The 26,507-nt window shown below is 37.1% G+C and overlaps 1 long non-coding RNA gene across 1 annotated transcript in view; it reads right to left on the minus strand.

The window, feature by feature from the left end:
* The window catches only part of LINC01695 (long intergenic non-protein coding RNA 1695), a 112,574-nt gene extending 86,281 nt beyond the window's left edge, over window positions 1–26,293 (minus strand). Inside the window, exons 1-3 of the long non-coding RNA NR_126012.1 lie at window positions 25,988–26,293; window positions 23,510–23,617; window positions 9,866–9,974 (exon numbers count right to left, since the gene is read on the minus strand). This is a non-coding gene — a long non-coding RNA (long intergenic non-protein coding RNA 1695). The remainder of the gene's footprint in view (window positions 1–9,865; window positions 9,975–23,509; window positions 23,618–25,987) is intronic.
* Window positions 26,294–26,507: the final 214 nt, after the last annotated feature.

The raw sequence follows: 26,507 nt of genomic DNA on the forward strand, positions 1-26,507 counted from the left end.
CTTATAGTTTCCATTATACAAATCGTTCACTTCTTTGGCTAAGTTAATCCCTATCTCTCACCATATACAGAAAGCAAATCAAAATGGATTAAACAATTAAATCTAAAACCTCAAACTATGAAACTACTACAACAAAACATTGGGGAAATTTCCAGGTTATTGGTCTGATCAAAGATTTCTTGAGCAATACTCCAGAAGCACAAGCAACCAAAGCATATATGAACAAATGAGATTACATCAAGTTAAAAAGCTTAAGCTTAAAAAGCTTTAAAAGCAGGAATATGGAGAAACTAGAACAACCATATATTGCTTGTGAGAATATACAGTAGTGCTGTAGTGTGCAGCAAAGGATACAATCAACAAAGTGTAGAGACAACTCACAGAATGGAAGAAAAGATTTGCAGACCACCCATCTGAACAAGAGATTAATAACTGGAATATATAAATAGCTCAAACAATTCCATAGGAAAAAATCTAATAACCTAATCAAAAATGGGCAAAAGATTTTGAATAGACATTTCTCAAAAGAAGACATACAAATGGAAAACAGGCATACGAAAAGGTGCCCAACATCACTGATCGTCAGAGAAATGCCAATCAAAATTACAATAAGATATCATCTCACCCCAGTTAAAATGACTTATATGCAAAAGACAGACAATAACAAATGCTGGCTAGGATGTGGAGAAAAAGAAACCCTTGAACACTGTTGGTGGCAATGTAAATTAGTACAACTACTATGGAGAACAGCTTGGAGATTCCTCAAAAATTAAAAACTGAGCTACCGTATAATCTAGTAATCCCACTGTTGGGTATATAAGCAAAATAAAGAAAATCAGTATGTTGAAGAGATGTTTGCACTTCTATGTTTGTTGTAGCGCTCTTTACAATAGCTAATATTTGGAAGCAATCTAAGTGACCATCAAGAGACAAATGGATAAACAAAATGTGGTACACATACACAACGGAATGCTATTCAATTATAAAAAAGAATGAGATCCATTCATTTGCAACAACATGGATAGAACTGGAGGTCATTAAGTGAAATAAGCCAAGCACAAAAAGCCAAACATTGCATGTCCTTCCTTAATTGTGGGATCTTAAAATCAAAACAATTGAACTCATGGACATAGAGTGTAGATGGATGGTTTCTAGAGGCTGGGAAGGGTAGTGAGGGGTTGGGGAAAAGTTTGGGATGGTTAATGGGTACAAAGAAAATAGGTAGAAAGAATGAATAAGACCTATTATTTGATAGCACAATAGGGTGACTACAGTCAATAATAATTGTAGATTTTAATATAACTTAAAGAGTGTGATTGTATTGCTTGCAACTCAAAAGATTAATGCTTGAGGGGATGGATACACCATTCTCCATGATGTGCTTATTTCATATTGCATGTCTATATTAAAACATTTCGTGTTTTTCATGTTTTTCATCAAAACATTTAATTCATCCTATAAATACATACACCTACTATGTACTCACAAAAATTGAAAATAAAAATAATCATATATTTTTGTAGGTATATAAGCTCATGAAGTTATTTTAAAATCTACAACTTATTGATTTATACATATACACCATGGAATACTACACAACCACAGAAATGAATGAGATCATGTCTTTAAAGGGGTATGGCTGGAGCTGGAGGTCAGTAGTCTCAGAAACTCACAGGAACAGAAAACTAAATACCATATGTTCTCACTTATAAGTGGGAGCTAAGTAATGAAAATACATGGACACATAGTGGGGAGCAACACACACTGGGCTTATTGGAGGGTGGAGGATGGGAGGAGAGAGAGGATCAAGAAAAATAACTAATGGGTACTAGGCTTAATACCTGGGTGATAAATAACCTGTACAACAAACCCTCATGACACAAGTTGCCTTATGTAACAAAACTACACATGTAGCCCTGAACTTAAAATAAAAGTTAAAAAAAGATAATTATACCTTTAAAAATTGTTATAAAATGATCAATAAAAGCTCTCGCCAGTTGCAATTGTTGCTAGAGTTCTTTAATCAATAGAACAAGAACTGTTGTACTTTATTAAATACCAACATGGTAAAAGTTTATATTTTTATTGAGCCTTGCCACATAGACAAAGCATTCATACCAATCATCTCATTTGCTTCACTCAATATTCCTATGAGGCAGGGGTAGCATCTAATATTTTTATTTTCTACATAAAGAAGCAGTTTCACAGTAGTTTGACGATTTATCCAAATTCACCCCGTTACATTTTGGTGAACTGTGGAGGAGGGAGGATAACTGAACTGCCTTCTCTCAGATCTACATTGTGCCCATCTTTAGCTTTACTGCATTTTTCAGGAACTTACATTGTTTATGAAGCCCTTGGCGTCAGGTTTCCAGGTTGGATCTGAAACAGAAGGCTGGATGCAATGATTGTAATTCTAGAGGCAGGAGATAGGGCATTTCCCTTTCTCTCTTCTTCCTGTGATGTCTCTGGTTGTAGCTGCTTCCTCTGTGCCTCTAGCTCTTTTCTCCAGCCCATCACTCCTATTTACAAGCAGCTGGGAGGCAGCCATGATTTCTGGATTCCAATGGTAACAACACCTGCTCTCACTGACCTTCAGGTGTGATGTTAACAGCTTCCTTGTTGTTGCTGATTTCTGGGTGGCCCCGCTCTCAAGTCTTTTCCCCAATTCCTGTATCAAATAACCTCAGTTTGAAAAACCTAAAGTGGTTTTATTTTTCTGCCTAGATCTTAACTGCTATTTGAAAATATACCAATAAGCTTTCCATATTTCAAATTATTAATCTCAACCCAATGTTTCTATTTCATGAAATAGTGTTTTTCCATCATTTGCTTAGAATAAAAAATAGCTATATTTTACTGTCCTTTATTCCTTCTGTATTACTGATGTATACTCTATGGGCTTACTACGATTGTGTTGTATTTGAGTTTCTTAAGGTGTTTTTCATTACATCCCTTTGATTATAATAAAAGTTAATGTGATAAACAAAATGGTCAATGTAGTGGTTAAGATAAAGGACAGAATATAATTCCTCTCTGCCTCTCAAAAGCTGTAGGAAGTTGAGTTACTTTGTCTCTCAGCTTGGTATTAATAGGAATAATAGTTCATATGACTGAGAATTATTGTGAAGAATGAATGAATGAATATGTGAAAAGCACATGATGTATTGCCTGTTACATAGCACTAATAAAAAAGTAGAAATTTTTAGCCAGGTGCTGTGGCTCACGCCTGTAATCCCATCACTTTCGGAGGCCAAGGCAGGCAGATCATGAGATCAGGGGATCAAGACCTTCCTGGCTAACAGGGTGAAACCCCGTCTCTACTAAAAATAAAAATTAAAAAAAAATTAGCCAGGCGTGGTGGCACGAGCCTGTAATCACAGCTACTCGGGAGGCTGAAGCAGGAGACTCGCTTGAACCCAGGAGGCTAAGGTTGCAGTGAGCTGAGATCGCACCACTGCACTCCAGCCTGGGTGACAGAGTGAGACTCTGTCTTAAAAAAAAAAAAAAAAAAAAAAAGTAGTAATTTTTAAAGTATTATTTGAGAATTTGGAGAAAACAGAAAACATAAAGATTATTGTGACTGACATAATTATGAATCTAGAACCATTTATTTTGGATTGTGAGAATTTAAATCGTTAATTAATGTATATGTGTACATGTATATAGTGTGTGTGTATATGGCTGCAAATAATATTTATGTAAACATATAGCATTATATAACGAAATTTTAATCCACTTTTGTAAAATCTTTCCATTTTAAACTTCAGGAATTTAAGAAAAAATAATATGCATCTAAAGTTTTAATACCTTAAAAAATACATTACTTGATTAAAACAAAATTAATTTCAGGCCAGGTGCAGTGGCTCATGCCTGTAATCCCAGCACTTTGGGAGGCCGAAGTGGGCAGATCACGTGGTCAGGAGATCGAGACCATCCTGGCTAACATCGTGAAACCCCATCTCTACTAAAAATACAAAAAATTAGCCGGGTGTGGTGGCAGGTGCCTGTAGTCCCAGCTACTCGGGAGGCTGAGGCAGGAGAATGGCGTGAACCCGGGAGGCGGAGCTTACAGTGAGCTGAGATTGCACCACTGTACTCCAGTCTGGGCAACAGAGCAAGACTCTGTTCAAAAAAAAAAAATTAATTTCAAAGTGTTTGCAAAAAAAAGCATTTTACGAATGCCAAATGTATTACTGAAGAACAACAAAATAATTCAAGTAAAGGAGGATTTTACTACCTTGGATTTATTATAAGAAAATGCAAGGGTCTTCAGCTATGGAGAAAACCCTGGGAAATATAATAAATTAGACAATCTCTTTATGTAACTCTTTTGCTTTTTCTTTTCTTTTTTTTTTTTTTCTTTTTTTTTCTATTTTGAGACAGAGTTTTGCTCTCGTTGCCAGGCTGGAGTGCAATGGCGCGATCTCAGTTCACTGCAACCTCTGCCTCCCCGGGTTCAAGCGATTCTCCTGCCTCAGCCTCCCGAGTAGCTGGGATTACAGGGATGTGCCACCAAGCCTGGCTAATTTTGTATTTTTAGTAGAGATGGGGTTTCTCCATGTTGGTCAGGCTGGTCTTGAACTCCCGATCTCAGATGATCGGCCCGCCTCGGCCTCCCAAAGTCCTGGCATTACAGGCGTGAGCCACCACGCCCGGTCCTATGTAATTCTTTTGCTAGATGAGCTAGATTAGTGCATAATAGTGATGATTTGGTTATTTCTGAAGTACTGCTTCTTTTGTCTGTTCCAGTGTTGTGTCATAGAAGATCCTTTGACAACCATTTGCAGAAAGTTCTTTAAAACAACAACAACAACAACAACACTGAAAATGGCACTTGGGAAAAGATGCCTTTTATCTAAGGCTGGAGAGAAAGAAAAGTCCAAGAACATGGCAGAATAAAACAGAGGCTTAGGGACAAGTCTACAGATGGAATCAGCCAGAAGCAAATTCTATTCTTCCTGCATCAAATACAAAAGAAAGTAAAAGTGATGAAGCCAAGGATCTATACAACTATGAAAATTCATAGTAATTGCAGGAACTATCCCAAAAAGCAAACTTGAAAGCAACTTCAAGTTCTGAATGACAAAATTTAGCAGTCAATTGGGACACTGAATTAATAAAAGATTTATATTATGCAAGCTACAGCTGACGTCCACATTGTAGAAACAAGCGCTCTCTTCTGACTCGTTCCAAGTATACATTATTTTTAAATCATGTCTTAAAATTTAGCCAAAATGGAACTCGAGAGAGCATTATGTAAATCTCACTTCTTGTTTCAATTCCCTCAAAAGTCCCTAGGTCCCATATCAGTAAAGGCTACATATGTGGAATAAGGTTTATAATGTATATAAAACAGAAACCTTCACTGTAACAATAGAACAATAGTCATCCTTGATTTGCTGCTTTATAACCTACCTACTACGTTTATGCAGGGTTACAGCGGGGCTCTGTAAATAATCCCACAAACTCCAAGGAGTACGAGTCTTTGTGTGGAATTCAAGATGTTAATTTTTTCTTTTCTAACTAAATTAACTCCACATGTTTTTTGCTGCAACTAATCTCTTTCCTGTGGAATTAGGCATGGTCTGACTCATTATTTACTTTTTGAACATGACAATTTACTCCAGAGTAGTCCTCATTTCACATAGCCTCAGGCTCCTAGGCCATTTATGTGCACCCAGCATTATTGCTGATCTTTGTAGTTAAGATGTGGATTCTGGAAGGAAATCATAAGACCACCAATATCCAGACTAATGCAACTCGGCCAGCCATCTCGTCAATGGCAGGCTTTAGATAGTATGTGTCTGGGGAGAAATAATTTCTAAGGTGTCTACAGAACTTTAGGACTGATAAAGTTCTCCCAAACATTCCTAAAATGAGTAAGATTTATATTAATTGAGACTGTCCTAAACATCAGACCTTTATCCTTACTTACGATATTGGTAATCCTAACAATGATAAGGTGGAAAATATAACCCATTTTCAACATGAAGAGACACTCATACAGCTAATAAGTAACAGAGCAGAGATTCAAAACCAGCTTCTTTGACGCCAAAGCCAATGCTTTGAAATGAAGCATTTCCATCATTTCTTTTCAAAGTAGCCTGTGGCAGAGACAAGCAGAGATCACTGTGACCCCTCAGAGTTATAAACCAAAGCTCATAAAAATAAATTGACTTATTAAGGCCTCAGAGCTTAGAGATAGAATCTGATCCACAGCCTGACTATAAGGATTCTCTGTGCTGTGCTTATTTATTTTTTCCACCATTAAATTTACTTAAATCATTTAGCTGAAGGTCCAACTTAGGACACTATGAAGTGTTCTTAGGTAGAGAGGAAGGATAGTGGAAGGGAGAGAGAAAGGAGACGAGAGGTGAAACATGAATTTTTTAAGTGAAGAATCTATGTGCTATTTGTTTTGTATCCATAACACCGTAACATTCATAGTAGGTAGCATGGTGTCCTGAACATAGCGACAATAGACATTTAATGACTATATAAGTTAGGTGAATAAAAATAAGAACCCGTTTGTAATTTTTTTCATCTATTTGTTTTCATAATAAAGACCTCATTTTTTATTATGATGATTGCCTGAATATCTGTATACCTTGGTTTAGTTCTGCCCCACCTTTAATTTCAGCTGTGTCACAGTGAATTGCTTTCACCTTCCTGAACTTGATTTTTCTCATGAATATAATATAGAAGTTAGATTAATTAAGTTTAAAATGCTTTCAAACTAAGGTGTATCTGACATAGACAATCTTTTTCAAAAAATGTTTCGTCGTAGGATGACAATCTGGTAGTGAAATTTCCAGCCATATGCAGATATTGATTATATTATATGTGATCTCAAACGTTTCCAGCAACTTGGTACAAGATAGCAACAAAACTTCTGATGTTCTTAATATTTGCTAAGCACCTGTTTATTTTTCATTTATTCTTTATTTCAGCAAGGAATTATTGAAAGACCCCTATGTGAAAGTGCTGGATTAGAAGAATTTCAAGACAACAATGACTGGTGTTCTGAATTACACACAAGATGCCACAGAAGGGAAAAAGATGTGTTTAATGATATTTCTCATTCAACAGGATAGATAACATTTGGACTTGAAGGGAGAGTAGCTGTTCTCTTGCAGCAGGTAGCAAGAGCTGGCCAGCCAAAAGGGCAGCATGTCATGATAACTTTGGGGGATACCAAATTTCTCAGTATAGCCAGTGCAGAGGGGGTTAATGAGGGTAGAGCAGATAATGCTGAGCAGGTAGGCAGGCCCAAGGCCTAAAGGATCCTCTACACCACTCTCAGTTTTTCTATCATATTGTGGGTTATAAGCAATTACTTAAGAACTTTTGGAAGATGAGTGACATAATTATATTTACATTTTGAAAAATCAATATGGCAGTCAGTGGAGGGATGAGGAATGGCAAAGTGGAAAGGAACCCAGTCGTTGAGATAGATAAGGTGGGAAAACCTGAAGGTCTCAACTGAGATTGTCACTTAGGCACAGGAATGATGCATGAGACTTTCTGCCATACTCAACCTGATCCAAGCTTCCCGTCAGGTGTCATACCAAAGAATAGCCTGGTATGTTTTACATTAAAATACATTTTCTGAAACAAAAGAAAACGTGAGAAAAGCCCAATGTGTGAGTAGGTAACAACTAATCAAGTAATTAAACCAAGGCTTTGAGAAAATATCACCATGCCATCGTCTGGATGACAAGAATGTGGTTGCAGATACCTTAAGTCAGAGTGAAAAGTATGGAATACTGGATTGGCAAGGAACAAACTCGGAAAATATACTTCTCTAAAAATAGACGCATTGTTCCTTATTTGCTGGGTCCTTTAGGTACTACTTGATTTGGAAGGAAAGAAATAGATGTGTTGCATATTCTTACAGATATTTTTTTAATGTAAATAGATTTTTCTTCATATTAGGGGAATGTATTTGGATTTGAAATTCAAATACATTTTCAAATTTGTGCCTGAACCATCATCCATCTGGTTCTCCTCCTCACACCCACCACACACCTACCTCTGTATCTCTCTCTTAATGTTTTTATTTCATTGCTTTTCTGCCCAATGGATCAGAACCTCTAGAACCATACATAAATAAAAGATCTAGAGCCTGCCTTAACCGTGGTTTTCCCCACCTCCTATAATGCCTTTGCAGTTGTTCCAGAAGCTGCTATTAGTAACCCCCTCCCCACAAACCGTTGTAATTTCTCTGCTATAAGAAACTTATGAGCATCCATATCTTTGCTCTGGATCAGAACAGATATGTTGATAAACATTTCAATAATTAAAAAATGTAATTTTATCAGAAATAAAAAAAAATCATGCAGGTGAAAGAAAGGCAGATAAATAAGACACAAGAAATGATTGTGTCTATCATGAAGAAGTAGTGATCTGTGTCAGGAGAAAAACACACCATTCCCATACTTTATTTTGCCCACAAAGTGAATTTGACACACTTAAATGTGTCAAATGTGCATTTGACTATAGTGCAAATGCACTATAAATGTGCATTTGACACACTTAGTTTGACTACATATAATGGATTAGATAAAAAGAGGTAGTTTTCTAAGTACAAAGTAGAAACCATGATTTCTTTAAACTGGGTATAAATTGGAAAAAAAAATACTCAACAGAGTGTTGTGGTGTATCATTAATATTTTAGGAAATTTCTAATATTAAACTATTTCTAGTTTTAAGAAGTTTAGACACAGAAAAACAATACATATTTATATAATATCTTTTCAAAGTATTTCATCAATATTTTAATCTCGTTAACTTTTCTCCCACTTTCTTAAGAATCAAAATTCCTTTTTAACTTTAATTCGAGTTCATGGGTACATGTGCAGGTTGGTTATATACGTAAACTTGTTATGTATGTAAACTTGTGTCACGGGGGGTTGTTGAACAGATTATTTCAACTGTTGGTACTAAGCCTAGTACCAACAGTTATTTTTCTTGATCCTCTCTCCCTCCTCCTACCCTCCACCTTCTGATAGGACCCAGTGTGTGTTGCTCCCATCTATGTGTCCATGTGTTCTTAGGATTTAGCTCCCACTTATAAATGAGAACATGTGGTATTTGGTTTTCTGTTCCTGCATTAGTTTGCTAATGATAATGACCTCCAGCTCCATCTATGTCCCTGCAAAGGACACCATCTCATTACTTTTATGGCTACATGGTATTCCATGGTATATATATGTAGCACTTTTTTTTATTTAGTCTATCATTGATGGGCATTTAGGTTGATTAGAATCAAAACTCTTAACTAACATTACTCATTTCTCTCTTTGAGGTTAGCATTTCAAAAGGTTTTGGCCAATTTTCTTTTCAAAATAATAATGTTTGTCTATAAGTTCCTCAAGCCCTCTAACATCTTTTTAAATCTATAAATGCCTTTCAGTGTATTTTCATGCCTTTTCTAATGAGATTCAGACTTTGAAAAAAGATTCCTGTTGGTATCAAAACAAACCTAAATAAAAGTATTCTCTTTCATTATTTTATGATGATTCTAAAATTATATCTATTTTACTTACCATCATTTTGCTTGATAATGCCCAGCTGATTTGATTATCATTTCTTGTCACAGGTAGAACTCTGAGGGCATAACCATATTTTATGCTCATTCCTCATTTTAAGTTGGTTATTTTCATCAAGCACTATGAGTTTAATCACTCTGAAGTAAGGTAATAGATGAGTTTACTGAAAACACAATTCATTTCCTAATTTTGCTGGCCAAACGATACTACTCCATGTTCATAAACATGAAACTCTTCAAGGGATCTGCTTCAAGGGGAGGCAAGATGAATGTGCTCTTGGGAGTAGGACATTTAGAGATACGGTAAATTACCTTGTCTAGGCACTGGCCAAGTGGTGCTGTGGAAAATCTCCAGGACATCTCAGCTGCATGAGCTAATTTGTCTCCCATGGACTTGTCTCTCAATGGCTTGGCTGTGGGCCTACTAAAGGAAAAAAGAAATTGTGTTTTTTACCTTCTCTAAAAATTGCACATTATTTGCACTTTTGAAATCTCATTTTGTTTCCATTCAGTGGTTATCAAAATTATTAACAAAAGCCAGATGACAATATTAATCATATTAAAGACTGTGTTTAATTTATATTTATAATGCTCATATAATGTCATAATGTTCTATGACTATACTACATAGGCCTCCTACAGATGATCAAATCTTTAGGTGAAATGTTTATTTTTTGTTTGTTTATGAACTGTCAATAGCCATCCATGTGCTGTTAAAGATAAAGGTTTTGCAGCCCGGCTCAGTGGCTCACGCCTATAATCCCAGCACTTTGGGAGGCTGAGGCGGGCAGATCACGAGGTCAAGAGTTCAAGACCAGCCTGGCCAACATGGTGAAACCCCATCTCTACTAAGAATACAAAAATTAGCTGGGCATGGTGGCAGGCGCCTGTAATCCCAGCTACTCGGGAGGCTGAGGCAGGAGAATCTCTTGAACCTGAGAGGCGGAGGTTGCAGTAAGCCATGATCGCACCATTGCACTCCAGTCTAGGCAACAAGAGCAAAACTCTGTCTCAGAAAAAAAAAAGAAAAAGAAAAAGATAAAGTTTTTTATAATATAGGTTGTTATAAAGAAAACAAAGAAGAATTATAGAAATATCTTTCTTATTTTGACTTCATAAAAGACAGCTTACTATATGTAACTCACTAGAGTTGTTAGACATCCCTAACAAGAAAGCTTGAGTAAGTCACTTAGTTATTTTAGAGTAGGTATGATTATTTAAATAATTTAAAGTTTCCTGTTGTTTTAAAGAAAAGATTTGTATCGTATTTTTTTAGAAAATGACTTTTCATGTAAGAAGGTCAATAATATGGCACACTTAAGGTAATATTCTCTATCATTTATTTTTTCATTTGACTTCTATGCTATTTAAAAATACAAAAAATAATAGTTTTGTATATGAGCATTTAGAAATGCTTTGGGATGATTCAAAATTTCCAAATCTTTCTACAAGTCAGGACTTTCAAAAGATATGAAGTAAGTACAGAAGTTTACATCATTCATGCATCTGACATTGAATCAGATACTAATCAGAACCCTGGCTGAGCTGTCCTATAGCTAAGGGTTCAGCTGTTATGCATTAAATCAATTCTAAACGCACTTTTTCCAACTTCTTCCCATCCAAATCTATTTAATTTGTCGTGTGTCCTTCATTATATAAGAGAGATTTTCTGAACAAATTCTCTGGCTTGAGAGAATCTGTTCAACATATTTACACTAACGTGTTAGTGATTGGAAAAAAAAGCCAATGAGATTCAACCAATTAAATGAAAGAATTGAAACCTCAGCTACTGACTCAAATTATTTTTGAATCGAGGGAATTTGCAGGATGAGCTTCCTGATGTCCTAGAATTGCTATAAGTTAATTACCCACCTGTAAATAAGAATATCTTCTTCAGGTATATAATAATGAAAGTAAAAAAAATAGAATTTTTCTTTGGTGCATATTTCCCTCTTACTGTTCCCTGGGAAAAGTTACTATATTCCAGGACCAGATTGTTTTACTTTGCTGTCTTTTCTAGCTCTAGAGTGATTTCAAATATTGGGTGTTCCTTCAAAGGAACAGAAATAGTACCAATTCACAATGCCATGCATTTGAGATATAAATTAATCAGCAGGAATTCATCACATTGTAATCTAGAAGGATAGGGCAAATCGTAGCTCATAATTATCTAGAATTCCAGAAGAAATAGGACAGAAATAGGAAGCAAGAAGACAAAAAGCAGTCTTGGTTCTCGTATCACTAAAGAGTTTCAATGGCACGTGATCTCAAATGAAACCTGGTGGCCATTGCTCATGTGTTGTGTTCCACAGTAACTAGAGGGGTGCACATTTGGTCTGGAGCAATCTTCATAGAAGAGGGGACTAAAGCCCTAGAAAGCACGAGTTCAACTGGCTGCAGCCTGCAAATCAAAAGCATTCATTGAGAAAACATTAAGAACCCATGTACACAAACAATAGGGCTTAGGTATGGTTGCCACTCTAATAACAACTAAAAGAAGTTGTATGCTTCTCCTAGATGATACAAATTTTTTAAGTAATATATTTTCTCATTTCTTCTTTTGCTGCCAGAGTGCTTGGAGCTAAATCTGTAGGCATAATTTTAGCAACCATTTAAAAAATTATGACATATATATTTTTATACAATTTTTTCCTGATGTGTTGTTTGTATTTCTATTTTTTAACATCCTGAATTATGTTTTTCCCCTATTTACTGCTTGCATTCTAATAAACTGCTTCCATTGTTTTTGTAGAACTAAAACAAATATACTCAATCATATAACAGTCAACAAAGAAATAAATACACAATAACAAAAGGTTTGCTACTCATCCCTTGCTTTTCTGCTTATTTACAATGATTCAGAGAATGGTTAGACTAAGGAAACGTGACCAAAATTAGCAATATTTATTTAACAATAAAAGCCAATCCTCTACACTCCATTAGCTCATCGTAACTATAGAGAGGATTATCTCAAAGTAGACAAGTCTAATGTGCAATTTAGACTGTACATAACTAAAGGCACAGGATAGAACTGGCTTTTATTTTCTTCCTGGCGCATTCTCTAGTCAGCCTTCAATCATGAATACTTGTAGAGAGAAAACTTTACACAAGCCGGAGGCAATTGCTGAAGGTGGAGACTCAACCTTTGACTTCTGCCATACAGAAGTGACCAGCCTGAGAATATAGAGATTTCTTACCAATAGAATACAATGTAACAATTTTTAAATATTAATAAAATGCTGGAATTTCATTTCTTTCTCCCAAATGTTCCTGCTTTGCCTTCACGGAACTTCTTGATTTCCTGTCTCCCCTTTTCCCTCTCATCTTACTCCAAGACTTTTGTAAATAAACAGCATAATGGAGAAGACACTTTCTCATAAGGATATTTTTTAGTTGACTATGGTTGCATAACAGCCAACAGACCAAAATATTTCATCATCAAGAATGTCCAAGTGGCTGCCCAGAACCAGGAGAACTGATATGGAGTCGCATGAGATAATGTTGGCTGACTAAGGATGAGAATTTGAAAACTCCCTGTACCCTCGGGCTAGCTTAGAAACAGCGATGCTCTGCCAAGAGCTGGCTTTAGAGCTGGGCATATCTACATTGGAATTTCAACTCTGCCACTTCCTCTTCATGGAAACTTAAACATACCCTTTAATCTCTTGGGGTCTCAATTTCCTCATCTTTAAAATTAGCATAATCCCTTTTGGGGTATTATAAATTAAATACTTCCTTATAAGAAACTTCAAATATCTGAGAAATATGATTTCAAAATGATATACTTGGGATTATGTTCTGACTCACTGGAAAAATACCTTCTGTGTACAAGCACTATACCTGCTGCCTGGGATAAGAAATAAAATTCATGCTCTCTGTCCTCAGGTAGCAAAAGCTAACGTAGAAATTTGACTTATATATAACTACAGAACTGCTCATCAAATGTTTGAAGCAATTTTAGAAGTCAGGGATAGCGTTTGATGGTATTATGATCATTTTGCAGTCAGGAGGCTAGGAAAGCTTAAATCCTATGTCACTGTCAAGAATCTCTCCCAAGTGGTTACTAAGTAAGGCAACGAATGAACAAAACAGAACAGGAATAAAGGTCATTTTGTTGGTTGCAAGATTCTGCAACTAATTCTGCTGGTGAAAAAGTAAATTGAAGCCTCTGACTTAGGCTTTAAGTCAGAAAGGGACCTCCTAAACACCTCTCTCATGTTAAGACGTCACATTTTAGATATTGAGAGCAGAAGGCTCAGGTATACCTGCGTGAGAGAAAAACATATAGCTGGAGGGGTTTTTTTTTTACCCATTCAGACACAGCATGAAAGACAGAGAAAGGCCACCAAAATTTAAGAGGACTTCCTAACATTGCTTACCAATTCTACAACACAATACAAAAAAAAAAAAAATGACAATGAGAAGTTCCAGACCTAGACTCCTCACTTTGAAGATATAACCAGTGATTGTGCATGCAATGGCAATGTCCTCTAGTAATTGTGTGCAATCAATATCTATGAATTTGAATAAGCAGGTTAATCTTTTTTCCTTGGGTTGGGAATGGAGCTAGCAAGAGGAAGTTGCTAAGAATTAGGTGAGCATAGGTAGAATATGCATAGGGAAAAATGGCAAATGGTCTTTCCTCCAATAGGACACAATGTTGGTGTAATTAATTATCTCCCCAAATTATACCTTGGAATTTAAAATTCTTAGCAGGAAGATATCTACAGAACTCAAAACATTTTGTGTGAACTCCAGTACATGATGGGATTTGTCCTTAAAAGGAATAACTACTAAAACTAGACTAAACATTTACTGTAGTTCAGTGCAGACTTTAGTCTAGGAATAGTTCTAAATGGTACCCGGAGTAGCGGGGGAACTGATGAAATTAATCTATACTATCACAAAAATTAAAGTCCTCTTGATATAAATGAAAAATATGTTTGTAAAAAATTGCAAGACACACTAAGTTTTAGTGTTAGAGATTGTGAAAAAAGATACCAGAAAAGATCCCATCAAACATTATGCTGAAATAAGGATATAACGTGTATGAGTGGCATTATACTATCAGAATAGGAAATGGTATCAGATTCACAGATTTTGGGAGCCAAGATGGTGAGAATAAATGTATTCCAACTGCAGAGGAATATCAATAAAGTAAGTAAATAAGATTTTTGTGTGTGTGGAAAGAGGGTCAGACACCTGAAAAGAGGCCATAAAATATGAATAAACTTCAAACAAATGACTCACCTCTACAGCAGGTTGAGCCAACTTTCCTCATCAAGGAGACCTCAAAGTTGCTTCAGAGCATCCATGCAAGTTGCCTTGTAAGGTCTTGTTGATGTGCTCCCCCTTCCGCCATCAGATCCTCTTGGCCCTGCCTGATCCCTGGGGCCTCCATGGCTTGTTCTGTTTTCCATCTGCAGGGAACCCAGTAATGACAAGTGCTTGTCTTATAGTTATAAATGCCTTGGCTCCACTTCTATCAATTTATCTACTAAACACCACCAGCTGTGTCCCTCTTGACCTGAGATGAGAACTGTCTTTAAGCCAGGCCTTGATTGTGCCTCTCTTGTGGAGCTGGACATTCTGGTCCAGGAGATGCTTTATGCACTGAACCAATGGCCAATATATGATGGTGTGTACCCATATGCTAGACTACTTGACTCCAATATCCAAAGGGCAGATGTAGGATTGGCCCCACTCATCTTTTCCATTGACCTGTGTATTAGTCAGTGTTCTCTAGAGGGACAGAACTAATAGAATAAATAAACATATATAATATAACATTATATATATATGGGACTTTATTAAATATTAACTTACATGTTCACAAGGTCCCACAATAGACTGTCTGTAAGCTGAAGAGCAAGGAGAGCCAGTCTGAGTCCCAAAACTGAAGAACTTGGAGTCGAGTGTTCAAGGTCAGGAAGCATCCAGCACAGGAGAAAGATGTGGGATGGGAGGCTAGGCCAGTCTCTCCTTTTCACATTGTTCTGCCTGCTTTATATTTGCTGTCAGCTGATTAAATTGCCCACCAGATTAAGGGTGGATCTGCCTTCCCCAGCCCACTGACTCAAATGTTATTCTCTTTTGGCAACACCCTCACAGACACACCCAACATCAATAATTTGTATCCTTCAATCCAATCAAGTTTACATTCAGTATTAACCATCGCAACTTCACCTCTTCTCAACTTGAACCCATACACATCTCCTGAGATCATAATCTCCAAATAAAGATAATAATAAGGTCGTAATTCTGCCTGATATAATACAACTATCCTTCATACAACTGGAAATGCACCAATCCCCAACCCAAATACTAATACAAAAAGTTAACAATATTTAAATGCTGATATGAAGTCAATAAACCTTATGTCACATGATAAAATAAAATAAAATAAAAATATTTTCTTAGTACAAGTGTATACATAGACAAACATGTTTTTAACAAAAGAAGAATGAAATTCTCATGAAAATTATAGTCCTTGTTTCCACAGCTGGTAACATGGTTGGAGCTCGTATTGATGACTACCTTCTTCTACTATCCATTCTGTATTCCCTTTGCCGTCAGAAAGCACTTCAGCAGGTCATGGTTTTTTTCCTGGAGGAGTGACCCAAACCTTCACTCCTGAGGGGTCTGGGCCATTTGTAGTCCTGCCTGGAATGGACTGTTGTAGTTTCCCACTGACTTTAATCACAGGGCATGGTAATACTAAGAGACACCCTAATGGATCTCTTGCATTCTATGCAAACTCTTCCTGACTTCCATTATGCAGTAGTAGACTGATTTATCTTAATAGTCCGGGTCAATCAACCCAGCCAACGCTGTAACTCCCTTCTTAGCCTGTTGACTCAAAGGTAGCAAGAGCCCAAAGTGTCCAGGTGGCAATCTTAACTTCCAAATTAATGGAATTGTTGTTGTGTCTCCTGGTGGCAGCGTTCCTCCCTCCGGAACTAAGACCTCTAGGCCAGCAGAACGTAATGTCACAGGAACAGGAAGCAAAAATTTTGCTAGTGAATCACTAGGGGTGATGGTGAGTGGTGCCGCTTCCACGTCCCCCCCCGATTGCTGGACCCATGAAACCTGGATATATAGGAGAAACACCACCATATATTGGACACTGATTCAGAGCAAACTCAGTCTTCAGGAGAACTTTGCCCAGCCCTGCAAAGTATTGTCACTAGTTGGAATTGTAATTGTGATTTCAAAAGGCCATTCCACCATTCTCTCAATGCTGCTTCAGGATGATGGGGAACAAGGTAAGACCAGTGAATTCCATGAGCATGGGCCCACTGCCATACTTCTTTAGCCATAAAGTGAGTGTCTTAGTCAGAGGCAATGCTGTGTGGAATACCATGATGGTGGATAAGGCATTCCATGAGTCCACAGATGGTAGCCTTGGCAGAAGCATTGCATACAGGATAGGCAAAGCCATATCCAGAGTAAGTGTCTATTCTAGTGAGGACAAACCTCTGCCCTTTCCATGATGGAAGAGGTCCAACATAATCAACCTGTCACCAAGTAGCTGGCTGATCACCCCAAGGAATGGTGTCATATCGAGGGCTCAGTGTTGGTCTCTGCTGCTGGCAAATTGGGCACTCAGCAGTGACCACAGCCAGGTCAGCCTTGGTGAGTGGAAGTCCATGTTGCTGAGCCCATGCATAACAACCATCCTTGCCACCATGGCCACTTTGTTTATGGGCCCATTGGGCAATGACAGGGGTGGCTGGGGAAAGAGGCTGGGTGGTGTCCACAGAACAGGTCATCCTATCCAATTGATTATTAAAATCCTCCTCTACTGAGGTCACCCGTTGGTGAGCACTCACATGGGATACAAATATCTTCATGGTTTTTGACCACTCAGAGAGGTCCATCCTCATTCCTCTTCCCCAAATTTCTTTGTCACCAATTTTCCAATCATGCTTCTTCCAAGTCCCTGACTATCCAGCCAAACCATTGGCTACAACCAATTAATCAGTATATAATCACACATCTGGTCATTTCTCCTTCCATGCAAAGTGCACACCCAGGTGCACTGCTCGAAGTTCTGCCCACCGGGAAAATTTTCCTTCACTGTTGTCCTTTAGGGATGTCCTAGAAAGGGGCTGTAGTGCTGCAGCTGTCCACTTTCAGGTGGTGCCTGCATGTCATGCAGAACCATCTGTGAACCTGGCCATAGTCTTCTCTTCCTCTGTCAAATGATCATAGGGAACTCCTTCTGAGGCCATTGTTGCAGGCTGGGGAAGAGAAGGCAGGGTGGCAGGAGTGGAGACCATGCAAGGGGAGCCAGTACAAGTTCCAAAACTGAAGAGCTTGGAGTCCAATGTTCAAGGGCAAGAAGCATCGAGTACAGGAGAAAGCCGTAGGCTGGGAGGCTAGGCCAGTCTCCCCTTTTCACGTTTTTCTGCCTGCTTTACCATTGGCAGCTGATTAGATTGTGCCCACTAGATTAAGGGTGGATCTGCCTTCCCCAGCCCACTGACTCAAATGCTAATCTCTTTTGGCAACACCTTCACAGACACACTCAGGATCAATACTTTGTATCTTTCAATACAATCAAGTTGACCCTCAGTATTAACCATCACAACCTGTTTGCAAGTTCTGTATTTTTCCATTTCTGCAAATTTAGGCTCTGCTTGACCACAGGCCCCAATTCCCAGTGTTTAAGCAGAGAAATGCTAGGTGACACAGAGAGGTCTATTGAGTTACCTGTTCATAACAACTGTACCTTCTCTCGTGAGATTATTATGAGGATTGAGTGCAATAATACCTGTAAAGGCCAAAGAAAAGGACTTAACCCAGAGCAACTATTCAGTGGGTGCTAGCTGCTATTCTTAGAATACTGAAAATGTTGACTTCATGCTTAAATGACATCAATTTGGCTCATGTGATGTTCTTAGCTCATTCAGAACGTTGTAAACAATTACCCATTTTCTTTTGGTTCTGCATATAGCTAGAATTTTTTTTTATTTCATTCTTGAAGTCGGTCTTGCTTTTTTGCCTGGGTTCCTGAAGATTTTTTTTTTAATCCTGGAATGTTGATAACTTGCCAAGATATGTCCAATACAAGTCAGGTTTTATGCATACTTTCTGGAAGATAGTGTTTCTCTTTGACCTAAAAAAAAATTAGTCCTTCCTTCATGTAAGGGAAACTTTCATCTGTTATATCTTTCAGTCCTAATTTTCTATTTTTTCTTGGGTATTATATCTCAGGGACAGCGATTACCATTAACTAGGATTTTCTTTTTCAAAAATATATACTTACTACCTTTATTTCCTTTAAACTCTGTTTTTTCTTTACCTTTGAGCATTGTAAGTTTTTTATATTTCCCCTATTTTTGTAACTTAATATTTTCTCTTGACTTCATTCCCCCCCCACACACACACACAATGCAAATTTAAATGGCTTTTTCTTATAGTTAATATGTGCAACTTTGATAGCATCACAGCTTTAAATTTTTACTTTAGAGCTGCTTCTTTTTCTATCTTTTCTTTTACCAAACTACCAATTGCTATATCACCTCCTCTACTCAAAACACACTAACACACACAAACAATTGATTATTGCTGAAAACTAGACTATATTCTATTTGTTAGGACTTAGCTTAATGTCAGTTAGAACAAATATTTAAATGAGACAATAGAAAACAGTTCGTTAATTTTATAATTAATTTTAAAAGAGATACATTATTTGATTAATGCATACATGAATAACTAACTTTATTTAATAATTTGTCTGGAGTAACTCAACATAAGTGCTCCAATGTACCCCAAATTTGCTATTTTGTTTTGCTTCGTAAATCAGAATAAAAGCTGTCAATAGTAAAGGTAAGTCACACAAAAATATTAATTGATCCAACACTTATAAAGTCAACACTTCATGTATTTCTAATGAATCACATTAGTTTTAAAATCTATTTAAAAATATATTTAAATTTGTATTGTTGGTACCACATAAAGTAACAAATAAAATTCAAATTTTGCTGTCCTTCCAAATCTAAATAATAGTATATATAATGTAAAGGCAAATACTTGAGTTACCATTAAATAATTGTTAATACATAAATTTCTCCTTCTATCTATTAATCCCAGAAACATAGAACATTTAAATTACAGAAGAATGTAAAAGAAACAACAGAGGTCATTTTGGATGTACTTTCTTCTCCATTTATCAGGAAATGAATTATTATAAGTATTATAAACAAGCAACTCTGATTACCAAGTAAATATGATCATGTATGAAGTCACACTTTATCTTATCTATGGAAAATTTCTCTCACTCAGTAAGTAGTAGGAAGGGATACATATTTCACTAATCAAATTTGAAGAAAGATTCTGAAACCTGATGATTGTTATTTTTATTAGGATCTATCTAAATTCAGACATTCGTGGCCAACACTACTAGTGTCCTGACAGATGTCTATTCTTCTTTCTTTTAATCAGAGAATTCTACTTTTCTGGGAGTTAGAAATACGCCCAGTTTAAAATACTTAGCTTTGCAAAATTCAATGCCACTGGAGTAATCATATACCGTGCTTCTTGCCAACAGGATTTAAGAAGTCTTTGAGCGTGACTTCCCTTCAAGTTGGTGAGAAAGTTTGCCTCAGTTGACAGTTACACACTTAGCCTTTAAGCTTTTGTCCTTCTCTCTCCCCTTGGAACACAGACATGACGGGCTGAAGCAGAGAAGCCTGAGGTTGAAGGCCATGTGCTAAGGATGGCCGATTGAGAAACTGAATAAAACAGGGGTATTTCACATCTATCATTTGCCGTGTTAGCCTTGAACACTCCACTTCCAGGCTTTTGTTATATCTAAAATAAACCACTTTCCAGTTCAGCCTCTGCTTACCAAGTTTCCATTACCACACATTCAATGCAGTCATGACAGAAAAATTTTATACTGGTTTGTTTAATTTTTTTTCATTTATGATTTATCAGTAGCATTCATATGAACTTTGAAACAAAATCTTATTATTCTTTTCTCTAATTCCATCTTTCAACATTTAAATTTTGCAGATATGGCATTGTAATAATCCCAATGAAATTAATTCAAGCTGAAACAAATTAAGTTATTTTAAAACTTCAATTTGAAAAAAGATTGTACGCTATTAAATATGAAATGATGACTATAAATTATACAAAGAACTTTTGCTTTTCTAATTCTATGTATAAACACTGGCATAAGTACCTAACGATGTTTCCTTTTGGGAAGTATCAGGGGTGGAAAGGGATGGCATAAAACTTATTCATTCACCCAGTGATCCCTGAATGATGACTACAACAATGAAAGAGGCTGAGTGATGAGCAAAAATTTCAGGGAAGCACCGCAGAGATAGGAAGAGTATTATTTTTTAATCTTAAAACTCTCTCTTTATATGGGCTGATCTTTGTGACTTAAATATTAAAACTATGACTTGTTCTGGGCTAAAAGACAGCTTGAAAAATGCTAGCAACTCAGCAGTAATAATGACTTGAATGTCCATATTACAGAGCAGAAACTGAAAATACTTCCCTACCCTGTTCAATCTCACCCATGAAATTTCCCTCAATATTTTCAACAATTAATAATAAGGATCAATATATGTAAACCTGTGCTTGCCCTTAATGGGGAAGACACTCTTCCTATTGTCAGATGATAGCAAAAGCCCATGCCAAACAGTGTAAGGACTTGTAGGATCACAGATCCTCCAGATTAACAAGAACTGTTGAGCTCAGGGGCAACCCATGCAAAGAGAGGGCCTGATGCTTCCCCAGGCTAACAGAGACAAATGTCAGGGTGTCGGCAGAGTGAATTGCTCCTTTGCAACATAATGAATATAGGCTTTGTTACATAAAAATCAAATCATGCAAATGCAGTGCTTTCATCAAAACGGAGAAGGAAGAAATTAACTTAAAAACCTGTTACATATTGTCTTGCCTTATTCCATATAATCAGCATTCATTTCTTATTCTGAATTTCAGTAAAGTAAATTTGGTTATTTTGTGGAGCATGTTCATTCATATCCAAAAAAAAACCTTCTGTTGTTTTCTTCAAGTTTTATAAACAGACCCTTTTCAGATATCAGACTATTTGATATCTTGACTCTTAAACTCTTGACTAACTTAAAGTTAAGATTCTGACATCCTCAGTGGGATAAAAACTGTAAGTGGAGGTACTTGTAGTGATTTCTATCAACTAATCTTATTTGTCTAATTGTGCCACTTTTTACTAAGCTCTTTCAATCCAAGTACTTTATTCTCATGACCTGAATAAGAGCTCTGTGAAATAAATACTATCAATATTTTATTTTACAATGAAGACCCTGAGGCACAGAACCCCAATAACATAACGCACATAGCACTTTCCATTTCAGGAATTAGAGGAAGACCTAATGTCTATATTGCCAGAAGTTTTTATCAAATTGAGATGGGAGGAGAATTTCGACACCACTTTTGATAAGACAACCACACTTTCTGAATCATTGAACTATAACCAGATTTCCTGCTTGCCTTAGCCAGTATCAAGGATTTACCCATGAAAGCAGTTTTAGAAGCCATATCTTTTGAACGTTCACAGATTTATCGCCGTCTGTTTCACCTGAGTAGCACCTCTGAATGACTTTATAAATGACATTGATAGATGACATGCCATAGGGCGGATGGATTGTCAAGTACCTTTATTGCAAGAGCATTCTACTCAACTTTCTAAGGCAGTGACACATATTAATATATCTGGAAATGTGCCAGACAAAGATTGAATGAAAAGGGAATTTCTATTTCTCTCTTGGTTAACCATTAAGTTCAATTAATGAAAATACCATACCTCATGCATTCCAGTTAATCAAATTGTACCTGTATTCAAGCATTTAATAGCAATTATAGCAGTCAACACCTAAAACATTTAGGTGAACAAGAATCTCAAACCTACAGAAAACTTGCAAGTATGGTAGAAATCACTTTTTTCTGAATTATTTAAAAATAGTTGCCAACCTGATGTTTCATTACACTCAGATATTTGTGAAAATTTGTGTGTGTGTTCTACAGAAAAAGGGATTTTACAAACAAATAAAAAAGAAATAAAGGAAGAGAGGAAATGAGAGAAAGAAGAAAGGAAAGAAAGAACAAGAAAGAAGGAAGGAAGGAAGGAAAGAAAGAAAAAGAAAGAAAGAGAAAAAAGGAAGGAAGGAGAAAGAAAGAAGAAAGAAAGAAAGAGAAAGAAAGAAAGAAAGAAAGAAAGAGAAAGAAAGAAAGAAAGAAAGAAAGAAAAAAGAAAGGAAGGGGGAAGGAAGGAAGAGGAAAGGAAAGGAAGAAAGAAAAGGGAAAGGGAGGAAGGGAGAAAGAGGGAGGGAGAATACATACTCATAATATAACCATCAATATCAGGACACTAATGTTGATACCTTACTACAGTCTCATTCTCAGACCCTGTTCAACTTTTACCAATTATCCCCATAATATCCAGTGTACCGAAAAGTCCAAATCAGAATGGCATGTTATGTTTTGCTGCCATATTTCCTTTAGTCCCCTTCACTCTGACACAGCTGCTCAGTTTTGCTGACTTTCATGACCTTGAACTTTTGAATATTACAAGCATTAGCTTTTGTAGAATTTATCTCAATGTGGGTTTACCTGCTGTTTTCTTGATATTAGATTCAGGTTAGCATCTTTGGTAGGCATAAGACAGAAGTGATGAGGTGTCCTTTCATTCTATCACATTGTGCCCAAGTTTGATTTGTCTTCTCACCAACTTCCTATTACCTTTATCACTTGACTAAAGTGATATCTGCCAGGCCTCTCCATTGTATTCTCTATCCCTTTGCAATTAGTATTTTGTGGGAAGTAAACACCCTGTTCCTCAGCAAAAATTTCAACTTATTCATTTACTTATTGTATTAGTTCATTTACATGCTGCTGATAAAGACATACCTGAGACTGGGCAATTTACAAAAGAAGGAGGTTGATTGTACTCACCATTCCACATGGCTGAGGGGGGCTCACAATTATGGCAGAAGGCAAAGAGGAGCAAGTCACATCTTACGTGGATGGCAGCAGGCAAAGAGAGCTGGAGCATAGAAACTCCTGTTTTTAAAAAACATCAGATCTCATGAGACCCATGATTCAATCATCTCCCAACTGGGTCCTTCCCACAACACGTGGAAATTACGGGCGCTACAAGATGAAATTTGGGTGGGGACACAGAGTCAAACCATATCATTTATTTATACCTATACTGGTTCATAGTTTCCAATTTTTATTAGGTGGGTTATAATTATTTAACAAAATTTTTATTTTAATCTTCAAATGAACCTTTTTTGGGCCAGTAGCAGTTCTTTCAAGGTGCTTTCTTTTTCTTTTGCCATGTTTCCAACATTCCTGGCTCAACAAGATATACCAGGTTCATCTAATATTTGCCCTGCTCCAACACTGGAATCAGTCATTTCTCAAGAGCCCCTGGAGAAGCCAAGATCTGGGTGTACAGTGTGTGCTTATTGCTTTTGAAGTATTGCTACTCCAGTCCTTCCAAGTGGAAGGAAGCCTCGTGAATATATGTATACACACACAAACACATACACACATGCACATACAGACACACACACATATACAGACACAGAGTTTTACATCTATATGTATTTCTAGATCTAGCTATAAATCCTGAAAACCGTGAGTTCATACCAATAACTAATTCCAATCTAACCTCACAGGGCCTATTCTGGTTTTCTTTATTTCTTTCCATAAATGCAAACTCCTTCTCCAACAATGAGAAACCCAGATCTCATTGTGCTTACATATTTACCTATTTGATAAGATGCCCTGTATATAACCAAACTCCTGCCTCTGCCATGACCCCTGATCCATCCAGGTTTACTGCTTACCCAACCCTGGAAGCCTGGGCTGCCTGCCACATGAAGTCCCTTATCCCCTTGTAGAACACTTGCCAGGTAACATACAGGATGCTCAGTTAAATTTGAATTTCAGAGCAACAACGAATTATTTTGTAGTATCAGTGTGTCCCAAGAAAAGTTATACTGCTTATATGTATAACTATTATTTCTTTAAAAGCATCAGTATAGTTTCATTGTTTATCTGAAGTTTAAATTTAACTGGGGGTCTCGTGTTCTGACACCACAGTTCAGGCTTCTCTTAGCATAGGTCCGACTTTGTATTCACTTGCTGCTCGCTTCATATACATGTCCCTTCCCTTCACCTTAGCACTCTGGCTCCCCCAGCTAAGCTGACCCTCTGTGAGACACAATTTCTCATTCTACTGTGTGCTGTGACACCCTGCACTGAGTTGGGCTGTGACGTCCAGCCAGCCTGAAATTCGCCAGGCCCTTCCTCAGCTCCGCCACCTGGTCCAGGGCAACCCACCCGTTACGGGCTGTCCTCTCACTCTGAAACCTCACCTTGAGCCACTACACCTCTCCCCAACTCCCTTGTGGATGTCTATGTCCTGCTTCACCCAGTATTTTTAGGACCCAATGTTCAGAGAGGGAAAGAGAGGGAGGAAGGAAAAAGAAAGAATTCTGAAACATATTTGAGGATAGATTGCAGAGTTTAACACTAAGTGCTCATTTCATGATAATAGATCATCATGAAAAACACAGGAAAGTTCTACTAACAGCAAGAATAATTTATAATTTCTATTTGCTTCCAAAAACAGAAATAAAAGGTCAGAAGTAAACCGTTTTGGACTGTTTTTCCCCAAGTGTGAATAGTAATAAGCCTGCTTTGTTAGGAGAAAGAAAAAAATCAAGACGGAGGGGAGAAGAGGAAGAGAAAGAAAAGAATAAAAGAGAAAGAGAAAAGGAAAGAGAAAAAAAGGGAGGGAGGGAAGGAAGGAAGGAAGGAAGAAGGAAGGGGAGAGGAAAAGAGGGGAATCTATTATGTATAATGTTAAACATTTAAATGGTATGAAATGCTTTAAAACACTAAAATTTTACATTTTATTACTTGAATAAGAAATCTACACAATCTGGTAGATGAGGCAGGGAATGTTGCCTCCCCTATGTATATATTTTTTTCTTTTTCTTTTGTTACAAATCTTTATTTTATTTGTGCTAGCAAAGTGCCCAGACCTAAGTGATAGTAGACAATTTATGTAATCTAGTGAGTCACAAATGAGACAATTCTATACCCCTAGGGAGTGGTTTGAATACTGTGGATGTATTTTTGGTTTCAAAATTATTGGGAAGAGGAACTAGCTTGGTGAACATGACATGAGACAATCTAACATACTGAAGAATTATTCATTCAAAACATCAAAAGTGCTTCCATGGAGAAACACTGGTATAAGCCTAAAGCTGCACTCCACCCCTAGTTTTCCATCCTTTCTAGCAGCTTACACATGGCGAGAGTACCCAGTTCTAATCAATGAAACCTCAAAGGAAATGTGAAGTTGCTCTAGGAAAGCTATTTGTTTCTAATGAAAGATGACATCATAGAACTCACCATCACTTTCCACTTCTTTCTTCTTCGAAAGCAGCCATCTGTGTCCAAGAGAACTATAGAGGCACTAGATGTTGCACTGTTAAGAGCTGAGCCAAAGCTGCACCTCCCTTCCTCCAGCTACGGAAGGAAAATAAATCCTTACTTGTTTAAGCCACAGAGGTCAGTTTTTCTGTTATTTTCAACATAGCACATTCCTAACTAAAACTATGGTATTTTTATTTCAAGAAGAGAACATTTAAATGTTCGGCTTTCAGGGATCTCCTGATTAGAAGAGATGACTACGAACTCCCCTTTCAACCTATCTTGATGATCTATATTAGATGAGGTGACAGAGGGAGGGAGGAGAACTAGAAACAGGGATATCTCCTAGTTTGGTATAAATGCAAAGAAGACTTCATTAAAGGCTTATTGAATGGTGAATGCCTTGAATGCTGCCTCTTAGTGCCCAGTAGCCCGAGGGCTATGAAGCATGTGAAAGTGACATAGAGAATTTATTCTCTAGGGGCTAAAGGACCTATCT

This window comes from Homo sapiens, chromosome 21, assembly GCF_000001405.40.
Source record: "Homo sapiens chromosome 21, GRCh38.p14 Primary Assembly".
Classification (NCBI taxonomy): Eukaryota; Metazoa; Chordata; class Mammalia; order Primates; family Hominidae; genus Homo; species Homo sapiens.